General features: G+C 39.6%; 1 long non-coding RNA gene and 1 pseudogene across 5 annotated transcripts, besides 1 other annotated feature; both read left to right on the forward strand.

The window, feature by feature from the left end:
- Positions 1 to 573: 573 nt before the first annotated feature.
- On the forward strand, positions 574 to 26,119 carry LOC105373526 (uncharacterized). 5 transcript variants are annotated; one of them, NR_188088.1, is made up of 9 exons: positions 574 to 757; positions 2,739 to 2,889; positions 3,982 to 4,133; positions 6,967 to 7,165; positions 7,909 to 8,233; positions 16,315 to 16,361; positions 21,608 to 21,717; positions 24,266 to 24,296; positions 25,957 to 26,119. It is a non-coding gene; the product is annotated as an uncharacterized LOC105373526 (long non-coding RNA). The 5 variants fall into 5 exon arrangements; NR_188089.1 differs by lacking the exon at positions 24,266 to 24,296 and having other exon boundaries at positions 574 to 683; positions 6,967 to 7,059; NR_188087.1 differs by lacking the exons at positions 21,608 to 21,717; positions 24,266 to 24,296 and having other exon boundaries at positions 6,967 to 7,230.
- RPL23AP27 (ribosomal protein L23a pseudogene 27) lies at positions 19,441 to 19,957 on the forward strand (annotated as a pseudogene).
- Positions 25,123 to 26,436: an enhancer, noted in NCBI's record as "VISTA enhancer hs1177". NCBI's record gives its function as "enhancer in: heart[3/10]" and the evidence as "EXISTENCE:transgenic organism evidence [ECO:0001131][PMID:17130149]".

The following is a 27,216-nucleotide window of genomic DNA, read 5'->3' on the forward strand; positions in this document are numbered from 1 at the left end:
CCCAAGTTCGCCGGCTGTCTGGCTCTTTGTAACTCTTGATTTAGGAGTGTGTGTGTGTGTTTGTGTGTGTGTGTGTGTGTGTGTGTGTGTTGGTTTGTTTTGTTTTTTGTTGTTGTTGTTTTGAGACAGGGTCTCACTCTGGGGCCCAGGCCTGGGTGCAGTGGCTCGATCACAGCTCACTGGAGCCTTGAACTCCTGGGCTCAAGCGTTGTTTTAGTTCTTTGCAAGGCGCTGTGGAGTCTTCCCCCAGCGTATTTCCTATGGGTCTTGACAGCCGCCACCAAAACCCCAGAAGAAACTACCCCAGGCGGTGCAGGGTCTGGAGTTTGGGTTTGGCTGTTTGAGTGGTGGCTTTCTCCCACTTCCTCGCGTGGGAATGCGATGTCCCTTGCGCCCCACTCGGTGGCACATCCTCTCCATTTCTCCTCGCCTGCGACTGTGACAAGCCTGCGGCCGCACATTGTCAGCGATTGTGGGAAAGGGCCGCGAGCCTTTCCGCCGCTCCCGGCCGCCCTAATGAGGGAACAATCGGGCTACGCGGCGCTGGCGGCGGGGTCAGGCGCGGCGTCCCGCACAATGGGCGCGGCGCCCGAGCCCCTGACAGCGCCATAAATTGGCCGTGCAAAGCCGAGCGCTAGGTGGTCCCCCCTGGAGAAAAGAGCCGCCGCCGAGGGCGCGAAAAGGCGAGTCCGGAAGCCCGCCAGGGAGCCAGTGGCGCGTTTTCCAGATCACCCTGTTGGAACTTAGCGTAGCAGAGGTCAGACGACAGGGACAATAGCAGGGTCCCTGGGTGAATTCCAGGAGGGAAGCTGAGCCCGGCTCCCAGGTCGAGCTGAATGAATGGGGTGGGAGCTGAAGTCGGGGAACCCAGGGGCGCCCCAGAGTCAGAAGGTCGCGGGGTCTCAGAGCTGGAGCCCCAGGAAGCCCAGGTCGAGGCCTCCACCCCTGCCCCGGAGAGAAAGGAAAGGCCCCCGGCCTGAGGGAGAGATTTCTGCTGCTCCCAGTCAGCTTTTCCCCCACTTTGTTTCTTTCTTCTTTATCTTTTTTTTTCTTTTTTAATATATTTTAGTACAGATCTTGTCAGACGGGGACAAGATGAGAAAATCACTAGATGTGGGTGTTGTTTCTCATGGAAGACATACATATAATGCAAAGTACCTTTTGAAGTGTTTTTATTTTAAACCAGAACAGTTTTCTAAGAGGAAAAATGATTTTTTTTTCAATTTCAGAGAAATAAATGACATAAGGTTGCTCTTTCTGGTTTTTATTTAGCGTCAATATGCTCTTTTTTTTTTTTAATTTCTCCAGGGAACAGACAGAGAAATAGAGGGAGAGGGAGGGCTGGAGAGAGAGGGATTCTTATATGAGGATTTCAGTGAGCTTTTAACTGGAAAAAATGTATGTTAAAAAGAGTTAGACAAAATAATATTGATAAACGTAGCCAGATATCTGGTTTTCATAGGGTGATTCAGGAGTTTCTGTTTATTGCAGGCTTGGAGCTGCCAAACTCCTTAGCCAGTCATGTTCTCCCCAAACTCATGAATTTCAATCAAATGAGCCCAAAGAGTTGATTGCTAGACATGGTAACTATTTACCTCTGAAATTGTGTTTGCACATGCTGAGGTTGAAGGAAGTTCTCTTTTTCTTAATTATTTTGGAAGTCAGAATATGACCATGTAGAGGACAAAGAGTTGAACACAGGACAGGTGATGAGAGTGTGGGTGATTTACTACTACCCTAAGCAAGAACACATTCTGCTGGGTGCTGAGCCTTTGAGGGCACCCCAAGCCCCATATCCTCTTTAAGATTTCCAAATCACATCACACAGGGACTCGCACAAGGCCCAAGCTATGCTATTAAAAGTGAGAAGAGCCGGGCGCGGTGGCTCACGCCTGTAATCCCGGCACTTTGGGAGGCCGAGGCGGGTGCAACATGAGGTCAGGAGTTCGAGACCATCCTGGTCAGCATGGTGAAACCCTGTCTCTACTAAAAATACAAAAATTAGCCAGGCATGGTGGCGCACGCCTATAGTACCAGCTACTCAGGAGGCTGAGGCAGGAGAATCACTTGAACCGAGGAGGCAGAGGTTGCAGTGAGCCGAGATTGCGCCACTGCACTCTAGCCTAGGCGATAGACGGAGACTCCATCTCAAAAAAAAAAAAAAAAAAAGAGAGAGAGAGAGAGAGAGAGAGAAGAAAGACAGTGTTTATAAAGCCTGCCTTCCTGGTCTACCCCACTGGGGCTGGATAGTTCGATTTCCACAGCTCCAAGGTACAAGGTGCAAGAGTTAAGGTGGTTGATTGGTCCCCAGCCTCAGCGACAAGAAGTGAGCAGAGGGGATGCTCTGTGATGTTGCTTGTTCAACCTGATTCCCTCCACCCTCCCAGAGGCAGGGGAACCCCCGTCCCCCGCCAACCCACAGTGATAACATCTCTCAGGCTTCCTCCTTTGTTGGGTACAGAGGAGGTAGCCACACACAAAAAAAGGGGTGGTGGGTAGGTAGGGAAGGGGGAACTATAAATAATCCAAAGAGGTGGCTAGAAAGGCAGAGAGGACATGATGCGAGAGAGAAAGTTTATGCTTTCATATAAAAGGCATGAGCCACTTGACTTAGGGTAATCTGAAGGATCTTTCGTTTGTTTGATTGATTTTCCTTTTTGATTATTCTCTGAAATCTGAAGTCTAGGGTTGCCTAAAAGATGGTGAGTTCTTCTTATCTCCAATTTTTCCTGAGGTAGGAAGAACACCATGGAATAAGGAGAAAGGAGATACAAGTAGCCTCTCCAGGAAGAATGTGACTGAATACTTTTTATACAAAACCACAAAATTAGATAAATATGTATTTAAGTGTTATTCCTGAAAGCTGGAGAAAGAAATCTTACTTCTAAGGTAAGTCGGATTAAGTTTCTCTGTTAATCTGATTATGTTTGAATACATGTGACTTGCTTCCTGAGGGTGGGTAAGAATTGATAACTTCTTGGAGCAGAGGGTTACTAAAAAACCATTCGGAGGCAAAAAGAACATGGTGTATGTTCTAAATTAGGGTCCTAAATTAAGTTGAACAACAATTCTGTTCATATCCTTCATGTTCTTTCCAAAGATCCCTATTAAAATTACATTTTTAAATAATTTACATAAAAGAGAAGCTAAAACTATATCTTTTAAAATGTAGGGAAACTATCCACAAACAGTATTCTAAATAGGACAAACACAAAATTTCTTTAAAATGGAAAATGGGGGCATGAGAGAAGGAGGAGATAGGAATTTCTAAGTTATAGCATGTTATTCTTTCTGAATACAGTATTGATTTTGACATCCACAAAATCAATATGGAAACATACACACATGCAAAGTTCCCAAACTCCCCCCAAAATCTTATCTTGAAAACAATACTAGTCTACACTTTAAGAAAACGTTGCAAAGGATAATTCATTCTGTTCTTTGATTACTTAAAGCTGGAAAATCCTTTTCCACTAATAACCTGTTATTTCAACAGTTGAATTAGTATAGTGCTATACTATTTAACAGTTTTGTAGTACCTGGGGTTGTTAAAAAAATTGTAGTGCCAAAATAAATTTGAAGGATCACCTGGAATTAATATCCCTACAGACTTTGCACTGTATACTGTTTAGTCACTCTCAACAATTACAAAGACTTTGAAATCACAGCACTTATTTGTGATACTACTACTATTTCTTCTTCACCTCTTATTATGTAAATATAAGTGAGTGTACAGAAGTACATAGTTTTCCTTTTCACTTGAGTGCATTTCCCATCCCTTAAGGGAAAAGACAAGATACACTTTTGGATTCTTCAATTGCCATTCAATTGTTTTCCATGTAAAAAGCTTGAGTGATTTCTCTGTTTCCCGGCTATTTCCAAGTTGTTGGAATAATACATTTAAGTAAGAGAAGGAAAAAATAGAAGAAAAGATATTATTATTCTAACCTTGTATTATAAGCATGTCACATGTTCTTAAAGAATTGTTTAGCGAAGGAATAAGAAAATGTGATGCTTGGAAGAAAAAACACACTGCCGAGAGGCCTTGCGCTGAGTGTGCTGAACAATAGACAACCTCTAAGGATGCTCGCCTGCAATTCCGGCTCTGCCATCAATTCACTGTATGCCTTTGGGTAAGTCACTTAACCTTTCTGAGTCTCAGTTTCCCCATGGGCAAAATGGTGGTTATTATAATAACCCTCTTACCTGTATTTTGCAAAGAACAATGATTACAAATGAATGCAAATCATCTTGTGTGTGTTAAGAATGACATACAAGTGCTAAGAAATAGCATAAGCTTGTAGTTCACAATACACTTTTCAAGAAACAACAGGCAGATGTTGCAAGCATAGAATGATAACAAGAATTAGGGACCACCAAGCCAATTACAACCAAGGGAATCCTTTAGAAAAAATTCTTGAGTCACTGGACCAAAATGGCCAAGTGGGAAGGGAGAATTAACTCTCATTTTTTAATTTAAATTATTATCAGAAATAATGTTGGGGTAACAAACCATAACATATACTTAGTTTGAGTTAGTCTAAAATTCTTCTAGAAATATTGATTGAGCGTTACATGTTTTCTATGTGGAAAGCAAATACACAACTAAGAGAAGGTATTTCATGTAAAAAAAAAAAACAGGATGTCTTGTTTAGGATTTATAATGCGTATCTTGTTCTGTAATGCAGGAAGATTTCACAGGTAGCTTTTTAAAAGAATGAAAGAACATGTAATGATTAACTAAAAGTATTCAGTAATGCTTTACTTTAGTTTGGACCTAAGTGGAACATTCTTTATTTGTACTGTATTTTTTAATAAAATTGAATACTTGACATGCAATAACCTATGCTTTTGCATCCACATTTACTTCTGAAGAATCAAAATTTTCAGGTTTAAAAACAAGTTATATCTAAAAGCACACTTAAAGTCGTATACAGTCATATATTCTCTTTAATTGAATCTCAAAGATGAAAAAATGACAAATGAAGAGCATATAATATGACAGCAAAAGTTTAATAACCTACACACAGACAGAATTATTACAAATCAATAAGACAAACAAGTCAGTAGGAAAAGACAGTTGGAATGAACAAGCAATTAGAAAAAATAATAAATACAATGTCTAACTCACATGAAAAAGTATTTAATCTAAATAATAAACTAACATAAATACTCTGTGCTATACATCAGGTAGTAGATGAATGAATACATTGATACTTTCTGAAGAAACAACCAGAAGTAACTATCATACACTATAAAAAGTGCTGTGCCTTTATCTCAACCACTTCATTTCTTGGAATTTGTGGTTAAAAAAAAATCATCATTATTATTATTATTGTACCCTAAGATTTAACTATGGGGATAAATATTACAGCATCATTAAATTGAGTAAATGGGAACAATTCTAAGTGTGCGACACTGGAGCAGTTGGTTAAATACACTATGATATGTGTATACCATGCAATATTATAAAGCTGATAGAAAAGACGCTGTGATGGAGAGGAATGAAATGTCAGGCAGGATAGGGTAGAGTATGCTGTAACATAACAAAAACACAAAAATGTTAGAGGCTTATAACAACCAAGGTTTAGTGCTCATCATATTCCAGGTCCCTCTTGGCAGCAGGGAGCTCTGCTCCGCATCCCCTCACTGTGTGACCCAAGAATACAACAGCCACCATCTCAAACAAGGCTGCACTGCAGCAGAGTCAAAGAGCGCTCCAAGCTGGCCTCCCCAACCAAGTAGCCACTTGGCGCATGTTGCTATTGAGTACTTGGAATGGGGCTTGGGTGAATTGAGATTGCTGTAAGTGCTAAATACATATCTCATTGCCAAGACTTTGTCCAAATAACAATAGTAATTATAAAAGGATATAAAATAACCTCAATAATTTTATATTGATTTCATGTTGAAATTGTATTTTAAATATCTTATGTTAAAGAAGATACATTGTTAAAATTAATTTCACCTGTTTCTTTTACATTTTTAATGTGTTACTAGAAACTTGAAAATTACACATCTGACTTAAGTCTGTGGGAGCCACAGTGCTCTAGAGGGTCTTGCACTGGCAATTGAATGCTGCACCTCATTGGCTAGAATCAGTCACATGACCACACCCAATCTCAGGAAGGCCAGAAAATGCAATCCCACAATGCAGCTGGAAGACAGCTAACTGGAAATCAATGCTGAGAAGTCCTAAGAAATGCCACAGGAAGAGAAAGAGGCAGGGGGCCGGCAGAGGCCAGAACAAATTTTGGAAAGTATATTTAAGATCATCTGGGTTAAATACGTGTTACCCGACATCCAAAAATTACTTGGAAAGCCCTTGAGAATACCTCCAGGATCTAAGCAGTCAACCTCTAAAGCAACCATTAATAAAATGGAGTCATGAGACTGCCCTATAACAGCTTGTGGAGAAAGAAATGTCTCGCATATCACAATAGTGTGGACAAAGAAGATCAGCAACAATTTGGGCAAAATACATACACACACGCACATACACACACACACACACACACAAAGACAGACATTCGCTAACTTTGGTTTGCTATTGAGCTGCTTCTTATCTGGGCAATTCTACATAGTACACTCTAGGATACCAAGCAACTATTTGGGCAAAATACACACATACACATACAAATACACACATACACATACAAACACACACACACACATACACAGGCAGACATTCGCACACTTTGATTTGCTATTGAGCTGCTTCTTATCTGGGCTACTCTGTGTAGTACACTCCGTGGTGAGAAGCAACAGGGATTTATTGATTGATCAGTCAATGAGTATTGTTCTCCTGAGAAAAGCTGAGAGGTCGGCAAGTGCACGCAAATGTGCAGGTATGTCCGTAAGTATTGAAAACCCTGAAATACACACTCCAAAAACTACACCATCATTGTCACTGGATACCGGAATCCCATGTGATTTTAAATTCTTTTTCCTTATCTTTATTTTCAGATCATCTACAAGACATGAATGATGTTCAGAATTACTTGTCATGCCCTTTGCTTGGGGCTGAAAACAAGATGCAGTCACACAGATTTCAATGGAGTGTGTACTCTAGAGGCAGACTGCCTGGGATCAAAATGCTTGCAGTATAACCATTGACAGCTTCCATAACTTATCTCTTCCCAGGTTAATCAACCTGTAAAATGGGGTAATATCTGCTCCTCCCTCATAGGGTTGTGCATAAAAATCTCATGAGATTATAGGTGTAGAGAGGTGAGAACCCACAGAAACCTTTCCATAAATGCTACCTATTATTATTAAATTCTAGCTTTCTTTCAGTTTTCAAATTTAAAGTAAAGACTAAAATCAGCTGAGATATACTGCAATCTCCAGCTAATGTTTGGAGAAGCATTAGTAGTATTCCCTTCATCTTTCCTCATCCCCTCCTTTTAAAGAACTCTAACTGGGAACATGCATTTATTTCCCTCATATCTGTACAAGCCATTGATTTGCCAGGAGAGAAATACAAAGACTTTCACATTTTTGCTGCTCTCTCTCCTGAATTAATACTCCACTTCTGAATTTAAGGCAGCAAAACTCCATTCAGTGTTTTAAGAGTGGGTAAAATATATAGAAATGAGAATAGCTTTGACAAGTTAACATCCATGTGAATGAGACTAGAGAAATAACATTCTGTATATGAGTGCTTTTCTTCTAAATCATCTTACCAACTTTCAAGTGATTAGACAATTTTGTTTCATTCCCTTCAAACTTACAAATTAATATTTTTAAGAGATGGAGTTAATAACCAGTTAAAAACTATAAAGGCTTCCTCAATTGAAGGTCGGAGCTTTGCTATCTAAAACTGACTTAGAGTTACAATAAAAATAGCAATATCATGAAATGCTATATTTGTATTTCTCAGTTCAATTGCTTTTTATTTTCAAACAGTATGCAACTAAGACATGCCTGAGTGAAGTTTCCTAGGAGCCAGATAATTAATCCAACATTTATCTGAAATGCTGAACTAACTTGCATAATTCTTCAAATGAATATCACACCTTCGATGGGGACATACAAATTGTTTCAACCTGAGGCTTGAAAATATGTGTCATAAAGCATTCTGATTTATCAAGAACACGTTGTAATTTGTTGCATTTGGAATGTAGCTACCTAACTTCCTGAATATTTTAATAAAATACCTGTAAAATTACACAATCAAAACTATACCTCCACCAAGCAAAGTGACAGAGATGGTACTAACATCAACAAAAAGGTAAGAGAATGGTAAATTTCAAAAGGTTCTAGCTGTTTCCGTACTCTCTGTACTCTTACCGTGAAATCAAGCGCTGAAAAAGATTCTAGGCTTAAAATTCAATTAAAGCAAACACTTTTGACAATTATTTTACTATTTGATGTAAAAAAATAGATTTTTTTGTCTAGTGCTTTAGTTCTTTGCCTCTTTTTAATTTTTTCTTATGTATGGTTTTATTTTAAAGTTCCACTGAGGCAATATACATATGCCAGGCAGAAAATGCAGATATTAAGGGATTTTATTCATAACAGGCTAAATTTGTCTCTTGTGAAAGATAAAAACACTTTAAAGTTGATGAGTCTATGATTTTAAGTAAAATCCTCATTCAAATGTGATTGCTTTATAGGTTTAACTCTGGTCAGAGCAATTTGTGTTCTTTCTATATATTACTCCAACTATAATAAAGCTGTTTATGCAAATGTGAAATTGTTGCTATTGCAGAATCTTTCCAACCATGTAAGGTTGTAATGTTAAATTCCCATTCACGATCAAAATTCCACATATTTACAACCTGCAAACATCCCAAATTCACACTTCAACATCTGTGTGGCTGCCAACTTCTACTGAAATCTGTAGCATGCTTTTTTAGAAGTGGAGGAAAAAAGAATAAAAAACCTGAGGTAAGTGCAAATCAATAATGATGCTAAATATTTACCAAATGTTTGTTATGAAATATATTTTATTAATTGATAACACTTAGAAACTGATTAGGGATGCAAAAGCCTTAAAAAGTTTGCAGAATTTTTATAGCAGACTGTGGTTCATGAATTTAAAGCATGCCAAAAACACACGACATGCACAATTCTTGAACACAAGCCTTAAAAGTTTTTTCATTTACAATATTCAATTTCTCCAAATTCCTTTTATTATACAAACTTTGAAATTGTTCTGATAATGAGTATTGCTGCACTCTTAATAAAACCTTTGTCTTCTCATATTCTGTCTCATTGAAAAAGTCAAAAGTTCTGTCATATCTAGTATGCTAAATACCTTCAAAGTAAATAACTTAAAATAATGTATAATATTTTCCCAGATCTTTTAAAAATAGTTTAAGTAATGTTTCATGTTTCTGCACATGTTAACTGGATTATGAATTAGTATTTTAATGGGATTATGAATTATTAAAACTCAGACCATAGTATCCATAGACAACTCAATTTCTTTTCAGACTGTTTGTTTATCACATCTGTTATTCCTTCAACTGTATTCTGGTCCCTCTGAATTTGGAGGTATTTGAGGAAGTCGATAGGTTTTGCAGGGAAAGTGAGTAAAATGGTAGGCTGCTCCAACACAAGAGCCAGTTGCTGCCTTTTGGAGGAAAAGGAATTACAAGTTACACACAAAAAATGACTGTGTGCTACTCTGCTGCACATCTGGTCACTCTGGAGGGTCTTACTCTGCTTCGATGCTTGCACCATGATGTCCTCAAGTGACTATGGCTCTCTACCCTGGAATCTTTCTATTCTCTAGTCCGTTCCCTACAAGACTCAGTTAGAGATACCTCCTCCATCGGGGCTGCCTTGTCTATTATCCCATACTTAACCACTGTATTTCAAGGACAGCTATCATTTCCCCTGAATAACATGTTGTAGTCTTATTTCTGCCAGTAAATCTGTGTTGCCCTTCATCATGTGGTCTTTCTGAGCCTCAGTTTGCTCATTTGTAAAACATGAATACCTTATAATAATAAGTAACATCTTCCTTGTTATTTGGCCATTATTACTTTTGTAAATTCCACTGCACCTCCTTCACTCACGAGTAATTTTTGCATAAATGACTAAATGCACATGGAATATTCAGACAAGGAAGCTATATCACTGCATTCTGCTGATGCACAGTTTTGTTATGTTTTGTTTTGATTTTTTTTTGGTTGTATCTTACAACCAAGTAAAAATAAACACTACTGGGATGTTGAGGCCCAAATGCAGTAGAAATAAATAGGAGGCGATGCATTTTAGTTTGAAAATCAGTTCCAGAGTACAGTATTTATACATCTGAGAGGCATTTGTATTAAGCACCCACAAGGTCCAGGCTGGGCTCTGATGACACAAAGATTTTTTTTAAAAGTCCCAATACCTAATAAGCTCACAGGCTTACAGTATTGGCAAGAGGGAAGTGAGAGATGATGGACGTTTAAAAAATACAGTACACATTTCAATCAATACTGTGAGAGACTTGAGTACGTATTCTATGAGAGCACAAGAAATGGAGAAACTAATTTTACCCCTGGGAGGGTGGGTGCAAGTTGGGGAAGCCTGAGAGGATTCTGAAAGCGGAAAAAGCGGTCAGGCATTTGACTAGTAGTGGCTGCTAGCCTTGATTCACCCAGCTTCTTGCTAAGATAATTATGAAGACGGGGAAGATAAGAATTTATACTATCACCAGCTAATAAGTAACAGATAGTAAGTTGCAGAGCCCATCAAGCCAGGATCATCCTACGTTTTTTTGGTGGGGGAAGGGGGGAACGGAGTCTCGCTCTGTCGCCCAGGCTGGAGTGCAGTGGTGCGATCTCGGCTTACTGCAAGCTCCGCTTTCCGGGTTCACGCCATTCTCCTGCCTCAGCCTCCTGAGTAGCTGGGACTACAGGCGCCCGCCACCACGTCTGGCTAATTTTTTTGTATTTTTAGTAGAGAATAGGTTTCACCGAGTTAGCCAGGATGGTCTCGATCTCCTGACCTCATGATCCGCCCGCCTCGGCCTCCCAAAGTGCTGGGATTACAGGCATGAGCCACCGCGCCCAGCCGGGGCATCCTACTTTTAACCAGGAAACTAAGCTGCTTCAGTCTAATAAATGACAGCATCCTGTTCCAGCTAAGCTTATTACACAATTGAGACACTAAGAGAACTATTAAATTAAAAAAGCATTTTTTCTTCCAAGAAGTATGTAAATAAAATAATATGATATTTTTGGCATTATGGCATTTTTATTGCCAAAAACGTGGCTAATGTTTTACTGCATCTTTAGAGGAATGATCTAAACCATTTAGGATTGTTTTCTTTTAATCAATAAAGACTACTAAGGCACCCAGCAGCAGCTGTTATCTACTGCTAAACTCCCCCTTTACATGCTCTTCCATGTAGAAGCTGTGACTATTCTTGTACCAGGTATTCCCAAAAATCATGCCGAAAGTATGCCCTTTAGATGAGCTTGGAAAAAAATGTCCTAAGGAAGTACATTGAAATGTAGGGTGAAGCTCTAGGAAATGTTTTCCTTTGGACCTTTCTATATATTTTAAATATTCTACCAAGAAAGTACTTTTAAAATCAATCAAAGAAATATCATGTGCAGTTGGGGATTTTTAAAAATTCTGTAGGATTATGGCCGGGTGTGGTGGCTCACGCCTGTAATCCCACCACTTTGGGAGGCCAAGGCAGGTGGATCACGGGGTGAGGAGTTCAAGATCAGCCTGGCCAAGATGGTGAAACCCCATCGCTACTAAAAATGCAAAAAAATTAGCTGGGCATGGTGGCACATGCCTGTAATCCCAGCTACTCAGGAGGCTGAGGCAGAGAATTATTTGAACTCAGGAGGTGGAGATTGCAGTGAGCCGAGATCGCACCACTGCACTCCAGCCTGGGCGACAGAGCAAGAGTCCATCTAACAAAAAAAAAAAAAAAAAAAACTATAGGATTACAATTTTGCTTTTTAAAAACCTGGGTGGGGGGAGGGAAAGTAGCCTAAGATACATTGGGAACTATAGTGATTTCTGCTTTATTGCATGATTTGTTTTCTCGTATTTTCTTTCCTTTCTTTTTTTTTTTTTTTTTTTTTTTTTTTGAGATGGAGTCTCACTCTGTGTCCCAGGCTGGGGTACAGTAGTACAGTGGCACCATCTCAGTTCACTGCAACCTCTGCCTCCCTGAATCAAGAGATTCTCTTGCCTCAGCTGGGATTACAGGCACGCGCCACCACGCCCGGCTAATGTTTTGTATTTTTAGTAGAGACGGGGTCTCACCATGTTGGCCAGGCTGGTCTCCTGACTTCAGGTGATCCTCCCACCTCGGCCTCCCAAAGAGCTGGGATTACAGGCATAAGCCACCGTGCCGGGCCTATTTTCTTGTATTTTCTAAAAGGAGCTTTTACCACTCCTAAAATTGACTATATGTACATTAACATATTAACAGCAAATGTCAATGAATGACAATAGACACACAAAAGAAGAGGGAAGCCCCAGCAGAGCTGTCCAGGCAGAGGATGGAGGCTGGAGCAGCCTTGGCACAGCACAGGGTACAGCCTGCCCAGAGAATGGCTCAGTCCCAGCGTCACAAGGGATGGAAAGATCCATCACCTTTGAGGGCTGGAAGAGGATGGGATTGAGAGCCTAGCTGAAGGTATCTCTCCGATAAAGGAATAGTGATGGCCTTCCCAGAGAGAGAGAGGACAGATGAGTGAAGATGCTCTGGCTAGAGGTGCAGAGTGGGGAAGCTGAATAAATATGCACCTGAGCCAGGAGACAGAGAAGGGCAGAGTGGAAACTTGAGTGGTGCCACAGTTATAAATGAAAAATTGAACCAGGAGAGAGCATGAGTTTAATATTCGGGGCCAGGATGTAACGTGATGGAGCTGGTTGTGCCTTGGGCCAGCATGGTTGGCGAATGGATGCAGAATTGGAAAGCAGCATCCGGATTCTAGTCCTAACAGGCCATTCACCAACTGTGCAAATGTGATCAAGACAGTCCTCCCTGCCTACAGCCTCTTCAGAGCCACAGCCAGTAGCTCTCTAATAAATGAGAGAGGCTGCCTTGTTCTCACTCACTTTTTACTCACTTCTTGCCCTTGTTCAAATTTGTCCGGTCATCCCTTGAACAATTGTAATTGAATGAATCAGGATCCCCCCTCACTGTCCTAGAGGTGCTCACATAACAGCTGACTCTTGAAAGCAGTATGGATGGAATAAGAGATGTTGCATTCCAGAATTCCACGAATGAGTGACAATCCACGTGTGTCGTTGAACTCTGTCCAACTCAGAGTTGACATACCCAGTGTCTCCTCCAGAAGATGGACAGAATCTTACCATTCTGTGTCATTCTCACAGGACATTCATCCTCTCCCTTTTCAGGAAGATGGTTTCATATTTTCATCTGCAAATGTATTTATTTATTGAATCAAAGAAACAGCTCACTTCATTTTTTTTTTAGGTAAACTGCTTATTCTTAATTTACCTGAATTTTCAAAAGTCTGTAACTGAAAACCGCACTGTAGCCTGGTAGGAAGGGGACTTCCTGAGCATTTTGCCAGGAGCACTTGGCCTCCGATGGACCAGGAATTCTATAGTGCCCTTCATTACTAGGTTTCAGTATTTCCATTTCAAGCCCTGGTAAATACAGGGCTATAAGGGGAAAAAAAATTAATGGGAATATTTTCAAACCTTTGGAAAACTTAGGATTCGGTATTTGGCAGGAGGGCTAAGAGGGCGGTTAAAGAAAAAAAGTGCAAATGCTCAAAACGTTCTTTAAGGTTGCGTTTGAGTCCAATTTATGCTGTTCTTTTTTCACACTGGAGCTAGCAAGGTTGCATTTTTTTTCCCTCACTAACAACTCTTTCCTTATTCTATGGAATGTTTAATTTGCCCTTTGAAAGAAAGTATGATTTGTTCCATTTTTCCATGTGTAATTTCTATGCTATTTACAGACTAAGATAAGAATCAAGAAGGATTCATGTGCCAAAAGCACACATTCAAGCCTGGGAGAGGAAATCAGAGTCCTAAGCCCCAACTTGGAATGACTTACTAGATGATTGTAGTGACAGAGCCATCTCCACACCGGGCTCTCATCTGAGTCAGTGATATACTCTGTGCTAACAGAGACGATTATCCCAAGCAGCCAGTGAATCAAAGCACAGTCTAAACCAAAATCAAAGACTGTGTCTGGCAAAGCATCACAACTTCCAGAGGATTTGCTGAACAAAGCTACCAAAAACTTTAAAAACTGCAGTCTTAATCTAGTCACCCCTTACACCTAAATGATGACAGTGTGATATGAAAACACCAGTTATTATGCTTTACAAGTCAGCATGCTCATCAGCAAAGGATCTAAGTTAAAATTAATCCCTGTCGATATAGAAGACAATATCAAACTGGAGCCTTTTTTTAAGAAAAAAAAAAAGAAATATGTAGACTGAACAAACTCAAACTTCTAACCAAAAACAAAGTGATAAACCAGTTAATCAAGCTATGAGGAGAACCAGTTAAATCTGATATGAAACCACCATTTTACTAGAGCAAACTGTTACTAAGCTCTGTTTACATCAGCTCTGCCTTTTTCTCTTTCTCGGTAGTTCAGCTATGGATTGTCTTGTGGACTCTCACCATCCGGAATGATTTGCTTTCTATTCCAGTCTATTCTCAGCTGTCTGGCCCTGCACAAGTGCTCGCAGAACTCACTAATACCGACCACCTCCCTACCCCCCTCACCCCATCTGCTTTTTACTCTGAGCATGCAGGGCTCTAATCAGTTCTCCATAGCGCAGAGACTACTTCTTGTTTTTACAGACAAACATGTTAATTGCCATCACACTCACAGGCAGAATGAAGGACTGTCTTTTTACCCTCCTCAGTCCACCCGCCTGGATGCAACACAAACTACAATCTCCATCTCACCCAAGGACAAGCCCCCTCTTCTCTAAACAGCACACATTCTTTCAAACAAAAAATCCCCACAGCTTAAACATGCACATACACAATTAACATACATACATAGGAAGCGCATCATTGCAATGATGGATATAACTTATTACATTGACCTTACTAGCTAAAGAGTAAGTGGTAAAAGGGATTCAAAAATATGAGTTAGAGCATCAGGGTAAGTCCAGCACTTCAGATGGGGGTCAGCATTCCTGAACTCTGTTTTCTCATCTGATCCTATAACCAACCTTTTTCTCTGCCACTGACTGTTGGGAAGCAGTGCATTTTAAACAAAAAAGGCCTCCCTTTGATACCTCTTTAAATGTCAAGAGTAAGCCCTTATAAGAACCCAGTAGTCGGTACCCAGAGTTGGTGCCCAAACATGAAAGAGATTAGAAGAAGGTCTTGGTGTGGAAAAAGCCGTGGACCCCTTTCACTTCCAGGTGACACACTGTCATCACCCACATTACAGGAAAGGTGAGGCTGCTAAACGATTACTGGGTGGCGGAGGACTCCAGATTAGCTTAAATAAATGGCATTATTTTTATAAATATTTTCAAGGAAGTATAATATTTGTCTATAAAAAGATGGTTGAGAGCTGCATTTCACCTTTCATGTTTGTATCTTGAAGTTTCAAGTTCATTTCCGTACTCTGGGGTAGCTGCCCAAGGGAAATCTGCTCTTCAGGTTTACTCTCCTAACATCGCCCACAAATCACTCATGCAACCAAAACCTGCCAATGAAAAGCGCGTAAGGTCTCCTTCATCTAAGAAACCAGCAGTTTCCAAAACAAGCTCTTGTACATTATCCACCAGTGGCCAAGGTCTGGTGAAACACAAACTCTCTCCCATATTGAAGCAGAGAATATAAATGAGGGCAAACTTTCTGGAGAGCAGATTGACCACATAGATCAAGATTCTTACAAATGTTCTTATCCTTTGACCTAATAATTACAGTTCTTGGAATTTATCCCAAGGAAATTATCAGAGAAGCAAACAAAGAATTATGTACAAGGATGTTCATTGCAATGCTATTTATAATAGCAAAAAATTGCCACTGCCTAATTAAGCAACAATAGGAATTTAGTTAAGTAAATTATAGTAAATCCATAGAACAGAATGCTATTCAGGCATTAAAAACCATGTGTTCAAAGAATGCAAAATGGCTCAGGGAAATGCTGACAAGATAATGTTAAGTTAAAAAAGTAGGCTACAGTATGTTAAATGCAACGTGACCCCAGTTTTATAAATATTACATATGCATATGACATGTAATATGTGTATATAAAATTTGGAAGAAAGAAAAACTACATTGAAGTTTACTAAGTGCCAAGGAATGCAATAAAACCTTTACATAATTATTTTATTCACTCATCAAAATAATTCACAGAATGAACTATTTTGATCTCTATTTTGACAGTGAGAAAACGAGAGCAAAGAGAGATTAAGTTGTCAAAGATCACTCAGGTAATACATTGGGTAGCTAGTGTTTGATCCTAGATGATCTATGTCCTACATAACACTATCCATTGTGTTGTTCTATGGGTTATTTTCTCCCTTGCGTTATTTGTGTATTTTTCCAATTTTTTTCAATAAACATATTACTTTTATAACCAGTTTTTAAAAGGTTCTTAATAGTGTGCAAAGTGAGAGTGATTAGCATAAGTACTGAAATTAAATTCATATTCTTACTGAAATGAACAGGGTATTTTTGATTTGTTAAAAGCAGAATACAGTTTTGTTTTTTTTTAACTCTATTCATTAATTATTTAGATTCTGAAAATGTACCACTTGCTTTGCCTTTTATAAGTTTTGGCACTTTTATGCTTAATATGGCATTTTGTGAAGCAGAAGGGGAGAACTGAAGTGGGGATTTCTTAAAAGATAAGTAAAAATACAGACAGGGATTTTCTAGGTGTCTTCAATCTTCCTAATAGAAGGTAAGGTAAACTTCTAGGAGTGAGTCGAGCAGGGGTGGAAATTAAAATTACGGAGAGTAAAAGATCTGAAATAACTGCCATGATGTGAACAATAAGAAGTAAATAAAGAATGGAATATTATGGTTTTTAATAATGATGACAAAGGACACATGAACAGGGAGAAGCCTCCAGGTTTGCGAGCACTTGCATGGTGGGTGGAAGTTGGGATGTCTGGCTGAAGATGGATAAGTTTCTTCATAGAGCATCACCTGGGCAGCAGCGTGGTTTTGGCCATGAAGCCTGTGATGGGCAGAGGAGCAGCGCCCATCCAGGAAGGGCCCGTGCCAAAGGCCTCCAAAGGCAGATGGAGGGCAGAGATGATGGTGGGCGAGGAGAACATGGTACCTGAGACCCCACAGACACAGTTAGATCTGTTAAGTCGACTGGCAGTGTAGCAGAAGTGAAAGGAGACATCTAGGAGTGGACACTGGAAATGCAGGAGCAGGGGAAGGAGCGCCCATAGGTGGATCTGACACACTGGAGGAAGCTGGCTGTGGTCCAAGAGGGATCGGGGGCCCTGCTGCCATGAGTTTTCATCAGATGGCATGGATTTCCAGTAAGGAAAAGGAGTAAATTGGGGTATAATTGTGATGTATTATGAAAACAAGTGTTAGGCAATGCATAATACAATCCCTTTTAAAAGTTTAATGCTGAATGGCAATACTACATCAACAGGCCACCCTAAAACAGGGGAAAATATATGTGAATTCTGGGGTATTATAGAGCCATTAAAATTATGCTGATTAAATTGTAAGAACATACTCAAGGAAATTTATACAAAGCTATACATATGCAAATTTGTATATAAATTTATAACATACAAATTTATAATAAAGAAAATATTCAGAACATGTATATAATATCTTATTAGTTTTTCTTAAATTCATAAAGCAGAAATTAGCAGGAAACACCTCTGAAGATCGGTGGCAATTTCTATCAAGGTCGAAGGGTGTCTTAGTCTGGGCTGCTTTAACACAGCATCATAGACCAGGTGGCTTATAAACAACAGAAATTTGTTGGCCGGGTGCAGTGGCTCACACCTGTAATCCCAGCACTTTGGGAGGCCGAGGCGGGCAGATCACCTGAGGTCAGGAGTTCGAGACCAGCCTGGCCAACATGGTGAAACCCCATCTCTACTAAAAATACAAAAAATAGCTGGGCATGGTGGTGCACACTTGTAATCCTGGCTACTTGGAAGGCTGAGGCAGGAGAATTGCTTGAACATGGGAGATGGAGGTTGCAGTGAGCAGATATCATGCCACTGTACCCCAAACAGAGTGAGACTCCATCTCAAAAAAAAAAAAAAAAAAGAGAAAGAAAATAAATTTGTGTCTTACTATTCTGGAGGCTGGGAAGGGAAGTCTAAGACCAAGCCACCAGCAAATCTACTGTCTGGTGAGGGCCTCCTTACTGGTTCATAAATGGTGCCTTCTCATTGTGTCCTCACAGCGTAGAAGGGGCTCATTTAATAGCACTAATCCTATTCATCAGGGCTCCACCCTCAGGACCTAATCACCTTCCAAAGGCCCCACCTCCAAATACCATCACCTTGAGGGTTAAGATCTCAACATATGAATTGGGGGCAGGTGCGGGAAAACAAGCATTCAGAACACAGAGGAAGGTTACAAGGGATATTTTTCTTCTCAATGCCTCTAAGTTGTTTCTGAATTTTCTCAGAAAATAAAATATTTGGAAAATCCTTTGACGGCTCTGATTGAAATCATAACCACCATCTTGGTCCACCACAATGAACTGCCACGACACCCATCACCTCTCTCACAGCCCTTCTTCTCTCCCCGCTGGTACACACACCCCCTCTCACATATGCATGTATGCACACACGTAGTCAGTGCCTGGGTCACCACTCCATGCTTAGCATTTATCATCCTACCTGTTTCTGATTCCTGGTCTTTATGGCCTTAGTGATCTTCCCCTGACACCCAAACTCTGATCTCTAATAACTGAATCCCAACCACATTTCGAGGCCCATCAGAAGTGCTACCACCCCCCTGAAGTTTTCCTCCATCCTTTCATGGAGAATAATTTAGCTGCCTATTCTGTAGCTCTGCAGCACTTCAAATCTCTTTTCTATTACCACATTGTATCCTATACAGTGATTTGTGTGCATATAGCTTTCCTCCATCCAAGCCTAGCCTTCTCCATGGCTGGAACTCTCATCTTTGTATATCCACATCTACTTCCTTCCATCAGTCTCTAGCATCTAGTATCTGCAATATAGTAAGCATGCAACAAGTATTTACTGAATTGATTTGAAAATCTCCCCCCAAAGAACAATGAGAGGTGTGATTTCCTTCTTTCAGTTTGACCACTGGAGCTCTTGAATGTGGAAGCTGTAACCTCCCTAGGAAAATGAACAGAAACTAAAGTATCTTTGGAGAAAGACAAAGGCCAGTCCTGTTAAGAATTTAAAAGAAGAGATGAAAAATGTGTTTCTGATCTCTAGGCTCTGCCCGCCGCGAGGCAGCGAGATTCTGGAAGACAGATCAGAGTCTGGGGAAGGGGATGACAGCAGGAATACAACTTCACCTGCGGACAGCAGGGCTTAAGAGACGTGCATTTAACAAAGTGGTGCTGAAGGCCAAGAAGGAAGCTCCTTCCTCCCCTCGAGATGAAGCCAAAGCAGAAGCTCTGAAGGCCAAGAAGGCACTGCTGAAAGGCATCCACAGCCACACACGCACACACACACACAAAACATCCACATGTCACTCACCTTCCAGCAGCCCAAGATACCAAAACTCCGAAGGCAGCCCCAGGAGGAAGTAGCTTAACCATGCTTCCATCAAGTTCCCCCAGCCACTGAGTCTGCCATGAGGAAGCTAGATGAAAGAAAACACTTGTGCTCATTGGGGATGTTAAAGCCAACAAGCACCAAATCAAACAGGTTGTGAAGAAGCTCTCTGACATTGATGTGGCCAAGTCCACATCCTGATCAGCCCTGATGGAGAGAAGAAGGCATATGTTCCACTGGCTCCTGATTAAGATGCTTCGGATGTTGCCAACAAAATCGAGATCATCTAAACCAAGTCCAGCTGGCTAATTCTAAATATGTATCTTTACACCATAAAAAAAATGAAACGTGCACTCAAGGCTTCTTCTCCACCACGGGATGACGTGCTAAGTGGAATGAAAATGAATGAGAGAAGAGGAGAGGCACCTGTAGTGTTTTAGGAGATAATTAAGTCACTGAGAAGAAGGAGAAGGAATCACTGTGCGTACTGGGTCCTGCATCAACACACGCAGGTAACCACAGTCCGCTAAGCGGACCCCAGGAAATAGAATGGAATGTATCCTTGGATCCAGAAGCTTCCTCTCCTAACCAATATAATTTTAATCTGAATTTTTGGCAAATTATTTAAATCCAAATACTTAGTTTTATTTTCCTACAATCATTTCCTAATCTGGTTCTTCATAATCATATCTTAAGCAACCTGTAGTCAATGCATTCACTAAAATTCTAAGCAGGAAAATGATATCCAGCTTTTTTGTTTACCTATTTAAGATATACAGGGACTAAATGCTAACAATAGTATTGTCTGTTGTCCTGCAGCTGGTACTAGAGAGTCTATTTAACCACACTAACATCTTCCTAGGAAGCTACAGTTTTAATATGGAATAATTCAACATATTCATTATCACCTATTTACACTCATGTAAACCAATGCTCCCTGAGTAACCAAACTTTAAAATGTTAATATAAACATTATGCCTCTTTTAATTGCAATAGACACATTCCTAAGTAACTTGATTCCAACAAGACCCTTTACCAATAAACAAAAAACACATTTTGGGCAGCTTTCCTGTACAGTACATAGTAAGGAAGAAAGTGAACGATTTCCACAGCAAGGACCAGCAAGACGACTTGCACTCTCTAAGTTCTGAGGCCAACGTTGTAGATTCAAACTCTCCCCAATCACCAGTTTGGTTCTCAGAACGTCTAGAACGTAAGGGGAGGTTTGAACTTGGCTGGAACTTATGGGTCAGATCTGGAAAGTTATAAAAAGGTGCAAACCATCAGGGTTTATCTAAATGTTGGCCTTTCCAGAAATTATTTCCATCATGTTGGAGAAGGAAGGGCCCAGGCCATTTTCATGAAAGCCAGTTACTGAACTGACCAGCTCGGCTGGGACCACACAGCCTGGCCCAGTCATCCCTGGGAGTCACCAAGCACAGGTTGAGGTGACTGGCGTTTATTTGGATCACTGAAATAATAAGCAATTCCAGAGGAATTTGTTTTTACTAACTACTTGGATAATATGATGTGACAGGATTGCATTCCCACATGAAAAACTGAGAAGAATTCTTGGTGTCAACTGAAGAGACTGCTTGACTTCTTATTACAATGGATTTTCTTTCTCCGAAGCCCAAAGTCTTTTAAGTGTATGTGTGTGTGTTCCAATTTAGGCTTTAGTTCACTAATTAGCCGACAGTTACCATAAAATTGCTTTCTTCCTTTCCAACCTTGATGAAGTTTTTACTAAGTCCATCATTACTCAAACCCCATTAAAACTGCTGAGTTTACAGAGGAAAGAGATCTCGAAAAAGATAAGACTTTGTTAATATTTTAATCAGCATTTCTGGTACAGTATTTATTCCCGAACACCAGCATTTATTCTCACAATACCAGTGTAGTTTAAGTGTTTGGTTTTGAAGGTTTTTGCTTTGGGCATGAAAGCTACCACCATACTTGCTTTTGCTTTTGTTTTTGTTTTTCAGAAAGTGTGTATGAAAAATACTAGACAGGTCTTTCACTTGGAGACTTGTGTACTACAGCACACATTTGATTTACTTGGGCAGAACCACTTAATCACTGGGTATTGGCTTTGGTAAGTTTGTGTGGCCCAGCTGTCTTTTTAAATTTATCTTGGGAATAGTTTCCTCTTCCCCTGCAATGGAAAGAAATTGAATCCTTGTCAATATGACATTCATGTCATTGCATTGAGGAACACAAAATAGATGAGGGTTGATCATGTTTCTTTAAACTTTGGAGAAAAAAAAACAGTAAGAACTGTAAACATTGACTCTACAGGTACTTTGGTGTTCTCCTAAGTGGTCTTCAATTAACACTCTGACAGTTGGTGAAGTCTGTTCAAACATAATTTTTAAGATTGTGTTAACTACATAAGTGGAAATTTTAAATATTTATAAAGTGGCTTATATATAGACTGTAAACATTGTTAGGCTAAAAATCCTATTATTTATGGAATTAATGAAATAAAGAACAAAGTAGCATTTATTCTCTTACCAAGGTACTAACCTTATAAAGGCAAATAGAGACATAGTTAATGTTAGGGCTGGGATTTAACTAAGAAGTTCTAGGGGGGCAAACAAGGCTTCATTTTGAATTTGTGACAGTACATCATCCTTACGATTCCTTCATTTTTCTGTGGTTGCCATAAGGTATGTGGTGTTTGCCAGTAAGTAATTTTATGACAAGGCCAAAACTAAAAATCCAAGCCCCAAGTGACTCTTAGTCCAAAGGCTGTGGAAGTTAATGTGGAACAGTGTCAAAAACCTCCAAATTGGAATTCAGAGAACTCAGATCAGGTGCCTATTTAGTCCCAGTTTTTCACATGGCTAATTTGATATGGATTTAGTAGTTACTAATTCATGCTTAGTCATAGATAGTAATCGTGAGGAAGCCAGATCCTCTCTGGGTCTGTTTCCTTAGCAGAGCACCCAAAGCTCCACGGCCCCTGAGTTCCTTTCAACAATGACATCTTTGCAGCAGTCCCGATCTACAAGCAGAGTGTGGTCCAAATGCTGCGTGTATCTTTAGAAGGTTTTTAAGACAAAGGGAATGGCCCTAAAGGAACTGAAAAGCATGAGGAGACCACTCTAGACCTCAAAGGAGATGCAAGGTTGATGGAAGATTAAAGCTGCTGAAAACAAAGAGAAAGGATTCTTTCAAGGTACAGAACCTCAGAATGTCATGAAGTAACCACATGAATGAGAAAAATAACCAACAAGATAGACAGAACCATTGCCTTCCATCTGCTGTTGTCTGCTGAATGTCTGTATTTAACGATCATTTGCCATTGATAATGATTAATTCATGTCACATTATTTTCTCCATAGGCAAATGCCCTCCTATATTCAAGAAAAACTGTCCTTGTGAAATTGAATTGGACTACATTCATTAAGATTTAAATGTATCTCTATCTTTTGATATAACTATAAGCCTTTACTGAGCACTCACTGTGTCCCAAGAATTGCTTTAAATGTTTTCACTGCACTAATCTTCACAACAGTTCTATGAGTGAGCTTCATTATCGACCACATCCTGCAGAAGCACAGAGAGGGTCAGTAAGTCACCAAGCGCTGCCCAGCTGGTGAATGATGGAGCCAGAATGCAAACACAGGCAGCTGGACTCTCCAGCTTGAACTTTTTCACAGCTACATGTTTATCACACGTATCTGCTCATATTTTATTTCTAACTGAAGTCTGGGAGTATGGGACATTTGGGCATAATGCAGTTACTTTTCAAGAACACAAGAATTAAAAATATAAAATGTCACCTGTGAATCAATGAAGAAAAATAATTGAGGAAGTGATGTTATTTTTTTAATGTGCTATCTGCTAAATTTGAAAATCAAAGACAAAATTTTCAAGAATCTTTGCCTTGCCACGGATGAAACCATAGAGTGTTGTTAAGCTAGCAAGATTAGTTACTTCTATATTTGAAGTAGGTCGATTCTGTACCTCTGGACTTGATTCAGTAATAAATGGACTGTATGTCTGGATAGCAAATTGTGTGCTATTGTTAGGTATAAGGAACAGAGACTAAGAGGCTGAGCTGTCGCCTTTCACCCATGGCAGTGGCTCAGTGCCTTCATTCACACGCTCCGGGAACTTTCCCTTCCAGACAATGTCCTATAAAAAACCTACTAGTGCTCTCCAGAGAATCATTTCTACAAGTCCAGTGTTTAATGTTTTTAAATGACAATAGGTGAATGTCAGTAGCAAGCCAAATACCATTTCCTGGAATGGTGTGGCAAAGTATTACACTTGGATACATTTTTTTTTGTTACATACCACATAGTAGGCTCTCTATAAATACTGGATAAATTAAATAGATTTGATAAGCAAAAACAAAGAAGCATTTTCTATAGGAATCATCCTCAGACTTCAAGACACATTTTTTGAATATCTTTCTAATAGTTTAATTGATTTTCTTTCATTTTCCAAAATTGATATCTATTATTGCTCACCTATTGGTATAGATCTATAGATAGATCAAATTATTGCGATTTGGAGAGGAGCATTGACAATACAAGCCCAGATTTTTATCCTGTGAGAAAACATCCAATAAGTAATGATGTATTTTTTAAAAGGCCAATTTAATAACAAATCAAAATTCTGTTTTGTTTCAGAAAGAAGAGGCAGAATGATAATTCTCTTAAGGTACATAAGAATTTTACTAATGAAAAGATTCATTCATAGTATCTGGATAAAAGAAGAAAGGGAAGGAGAGAAGGGAGGTAAAATGAAAATGAAAACAAAAAGGAGAGGGGCAAACAGAAATTTTCTTCCCAAGCAGCAACTGTGGAGGAAGGCCAGTGTTCTGAGAATGTCGATTGTGTGGATGTGTGCTAAACTTTATTTTTATTTTTCACTTGTCTTGTTCAACATAATGGAAAATCTATGGCAAAACTTTAACCAGTGTTAATTCACGTCCACCAAAAGAATTGCACACCTCTATATCCATGTAAGATGGACCACATAATACTAAAATGCTCAATCATACCTCATTAAAATGCTTTGGGTTTTTTTCTTTCTTTTTTTGAGACAGAGTCTCACTCTGTCACCCCAGCTGGAGTGCAGTGGCACGTTCTTGGCTCACTGCAACCTCCAACTCCTGGCCTCAAGCAATCCTCCCATCTCAGCATCCTGAGTAGCTGGGACTACAGGCGCACACCACCACGCCCGGCTAATTTTTGTATTTCTTTGTAGAGATGGAGTCTCACCATGTTTCCCAGGCTGGTCTTGAACTCCTGGACTGAAGTGATCTGCCCACCCTGGCCTCCCAAAGTGCTGGGATTACAGGTGTGAGCCTCTGCTCACAAAAAAACACATAAAAATTTTTTTGTTTGTTTTATTTCATTTTTTTTTTAAGAAAAGAAGAGCTACCATTAGCTGTAGAGTAGTATTTTCGTTAAAGAATGTGCAAGAAAAAATTAAAATAAGACCCAAGGTAAGCCTGAAAAAGTCACATTCAAGGCTAGGGACTAGCAGAGAGAAAGCACATCAGGACCCCAATAGAAACCTCTGAACTAAAGAAGCAGCACACTACATTGTTTCCATTGATGGATTTCTGACAAACTATTTTTCCTAACTCATCTTTGTGTTCTAATAAAATTTGTACCTTGACGTACCTAATACCCCAGGTTTGGGCCAGGCCTGTTATGTCGCCCTCTCACCCAGTTCTACAGGTTTCTTATCACCTTCCCCATCTTCAAGCTCACAAAAATCCTGTAAAGAGGACCGACCAAGGAAATAGGCCTATTAAATAGGTGACTTTTTAAAATGGGAGAATTTGGTACCGATTCAGAAAAAGACTTGATGACAATGTTACTTGTTGAACAAAGGTTATCCCAAACTAAGCAGATCAAACTGGAATGCAGAAAGGAGCAGGCTCCCCCTCTAGGAATTTCTGTTGGTTAGAATGTTCCTGAGCTTAGCATCTCTATGTATGGTCTCCAGAGTTAATGTACCATATTTTCCATGGTTTGATGAAGACTCCAGAGCCCTTAAGATATGAATTGCTATAATTCCTAAATCAAACAGCATTCAATTCAGTTCCAGACCATTTCAGGGTAATAAGACCGGTATTTCTTATTTTAATTAGTCATTTTATACTTCTAACAACTTCTTTGACAATCTTGGATTACTTGTTTGTTTATATGTGATAAAAGCCATGTTTCGCTAAAAATACGAATGCTACATTTGAATGTCCATTTACATTTTAGTAGTTATGGAAATAAACTATCGAGGCCTTTAGATTATGGCTTTTTATAGACACTGAATACAATCACCTAATCTATTTTAATATTATCCCTTTCAGCTGTCTCGTGAGCATCCCCTAACACAGCAGAGATATCAAGTTGATAATATAAATTCAAGACAAAATGTCTGAACACTCATCAGAAACTGTCTTTTAGTTTGCAGAGAAATTTGTGCCTGACATTTGAAATTTTCAAGATAAATAAAAAAATCGTGGCCACATAGAAGTATTATGTTCTATTTCTAGATTTTAAATTCCTTCAGTGTGAAGACTGTTTCTTATCCTTGTCTCCTGAATACAGTCTCTTTATACATGATGCTTACCCAAGAAAATTTTTATTGCATTAATAAATGTGAAAATGAGTGGTGTTCATATCATGATTAAAAACTATTTTTTCTCCAAGTCTATATGCTAGTTAGTGAAAGCATCCCCTAAGCACAAAAAAAACTAAAATAATATGAAAAAGTATATAAACATATATATGTGTGTATAGATATATAGATACAATGATATATATTCATCCTTTGATCACAGACAGTTATATATTTCCTATTGATTATATATCTACTATGTTTAATGTTCCGCATCACATATTTTTTAATAAATTAATTCCAGCTGGGCACGGTGGCTCATGGCTGTAATCCAGGCACTTTGGGAAGTCATAGCAGAGGATTGTTTGTGCCCAGGAGTTCGGGACCAGCTTGGGAAACATGGTGAGACCCAATCTCTACAAAAAGTTGGGAAAAAAAAATTAACCTGGCATGGTGGTGTTTCTGTAATCCTAGCTGCTAGGGAAGTTGAGGCGGGAGAATTGCTTGAGCCTGGGAGGTTGAGGCTGCAGTGAACTGTGACGGCACCACGGCACTGCAGCCTGGGTGACAGAGTGAGCCCCTGTCTCAAAAATTTTATTTTTATATAAAATAAAAATACATTAATTCTTAGCATAGGCATACAAAGGGAATTACATTCTCCATGTCACAAAGAAGTGAAATAATGCTTCTTTGTGCATTATTTTGCATAGCTGAAATGCACCAGAGTCACGATTCAGTCTAAACTGTACCTGCCTATCTTCAGGTAGCACAGTCACTCATTTCACCCCTTGCTCCCACGGCTGGCAGAATTCTGGAATGACTCATCCTGAGTGCAAATTGAGCAGCCCCAGATGCCATGCCCGTGAAAGAGAGCTGAGACACTGATCCAGTCTCTCCAAGTCTTTCGGTGTTTGCTCAAAGGTTATTACCAAACTTTAAAACCAAAACAGCTCTAAATATACATGTTCCTCAAAATTAGATATGCTGACAAGAGAAATGGAGACCAAGT

Source organism: Homo sapiens, chromosome 2, assembly GCF_000001405.40.
Source record: "Homo sapiens chromosome 2, GRCh38.p14 Primary Assembly".
NCBI classification, from domain to species: domain Eukaryota; kingdom Metazoa; phylum Chordata; class Mammalia; order Primates; family Hominidae; genus Homo; species Homo sapiens.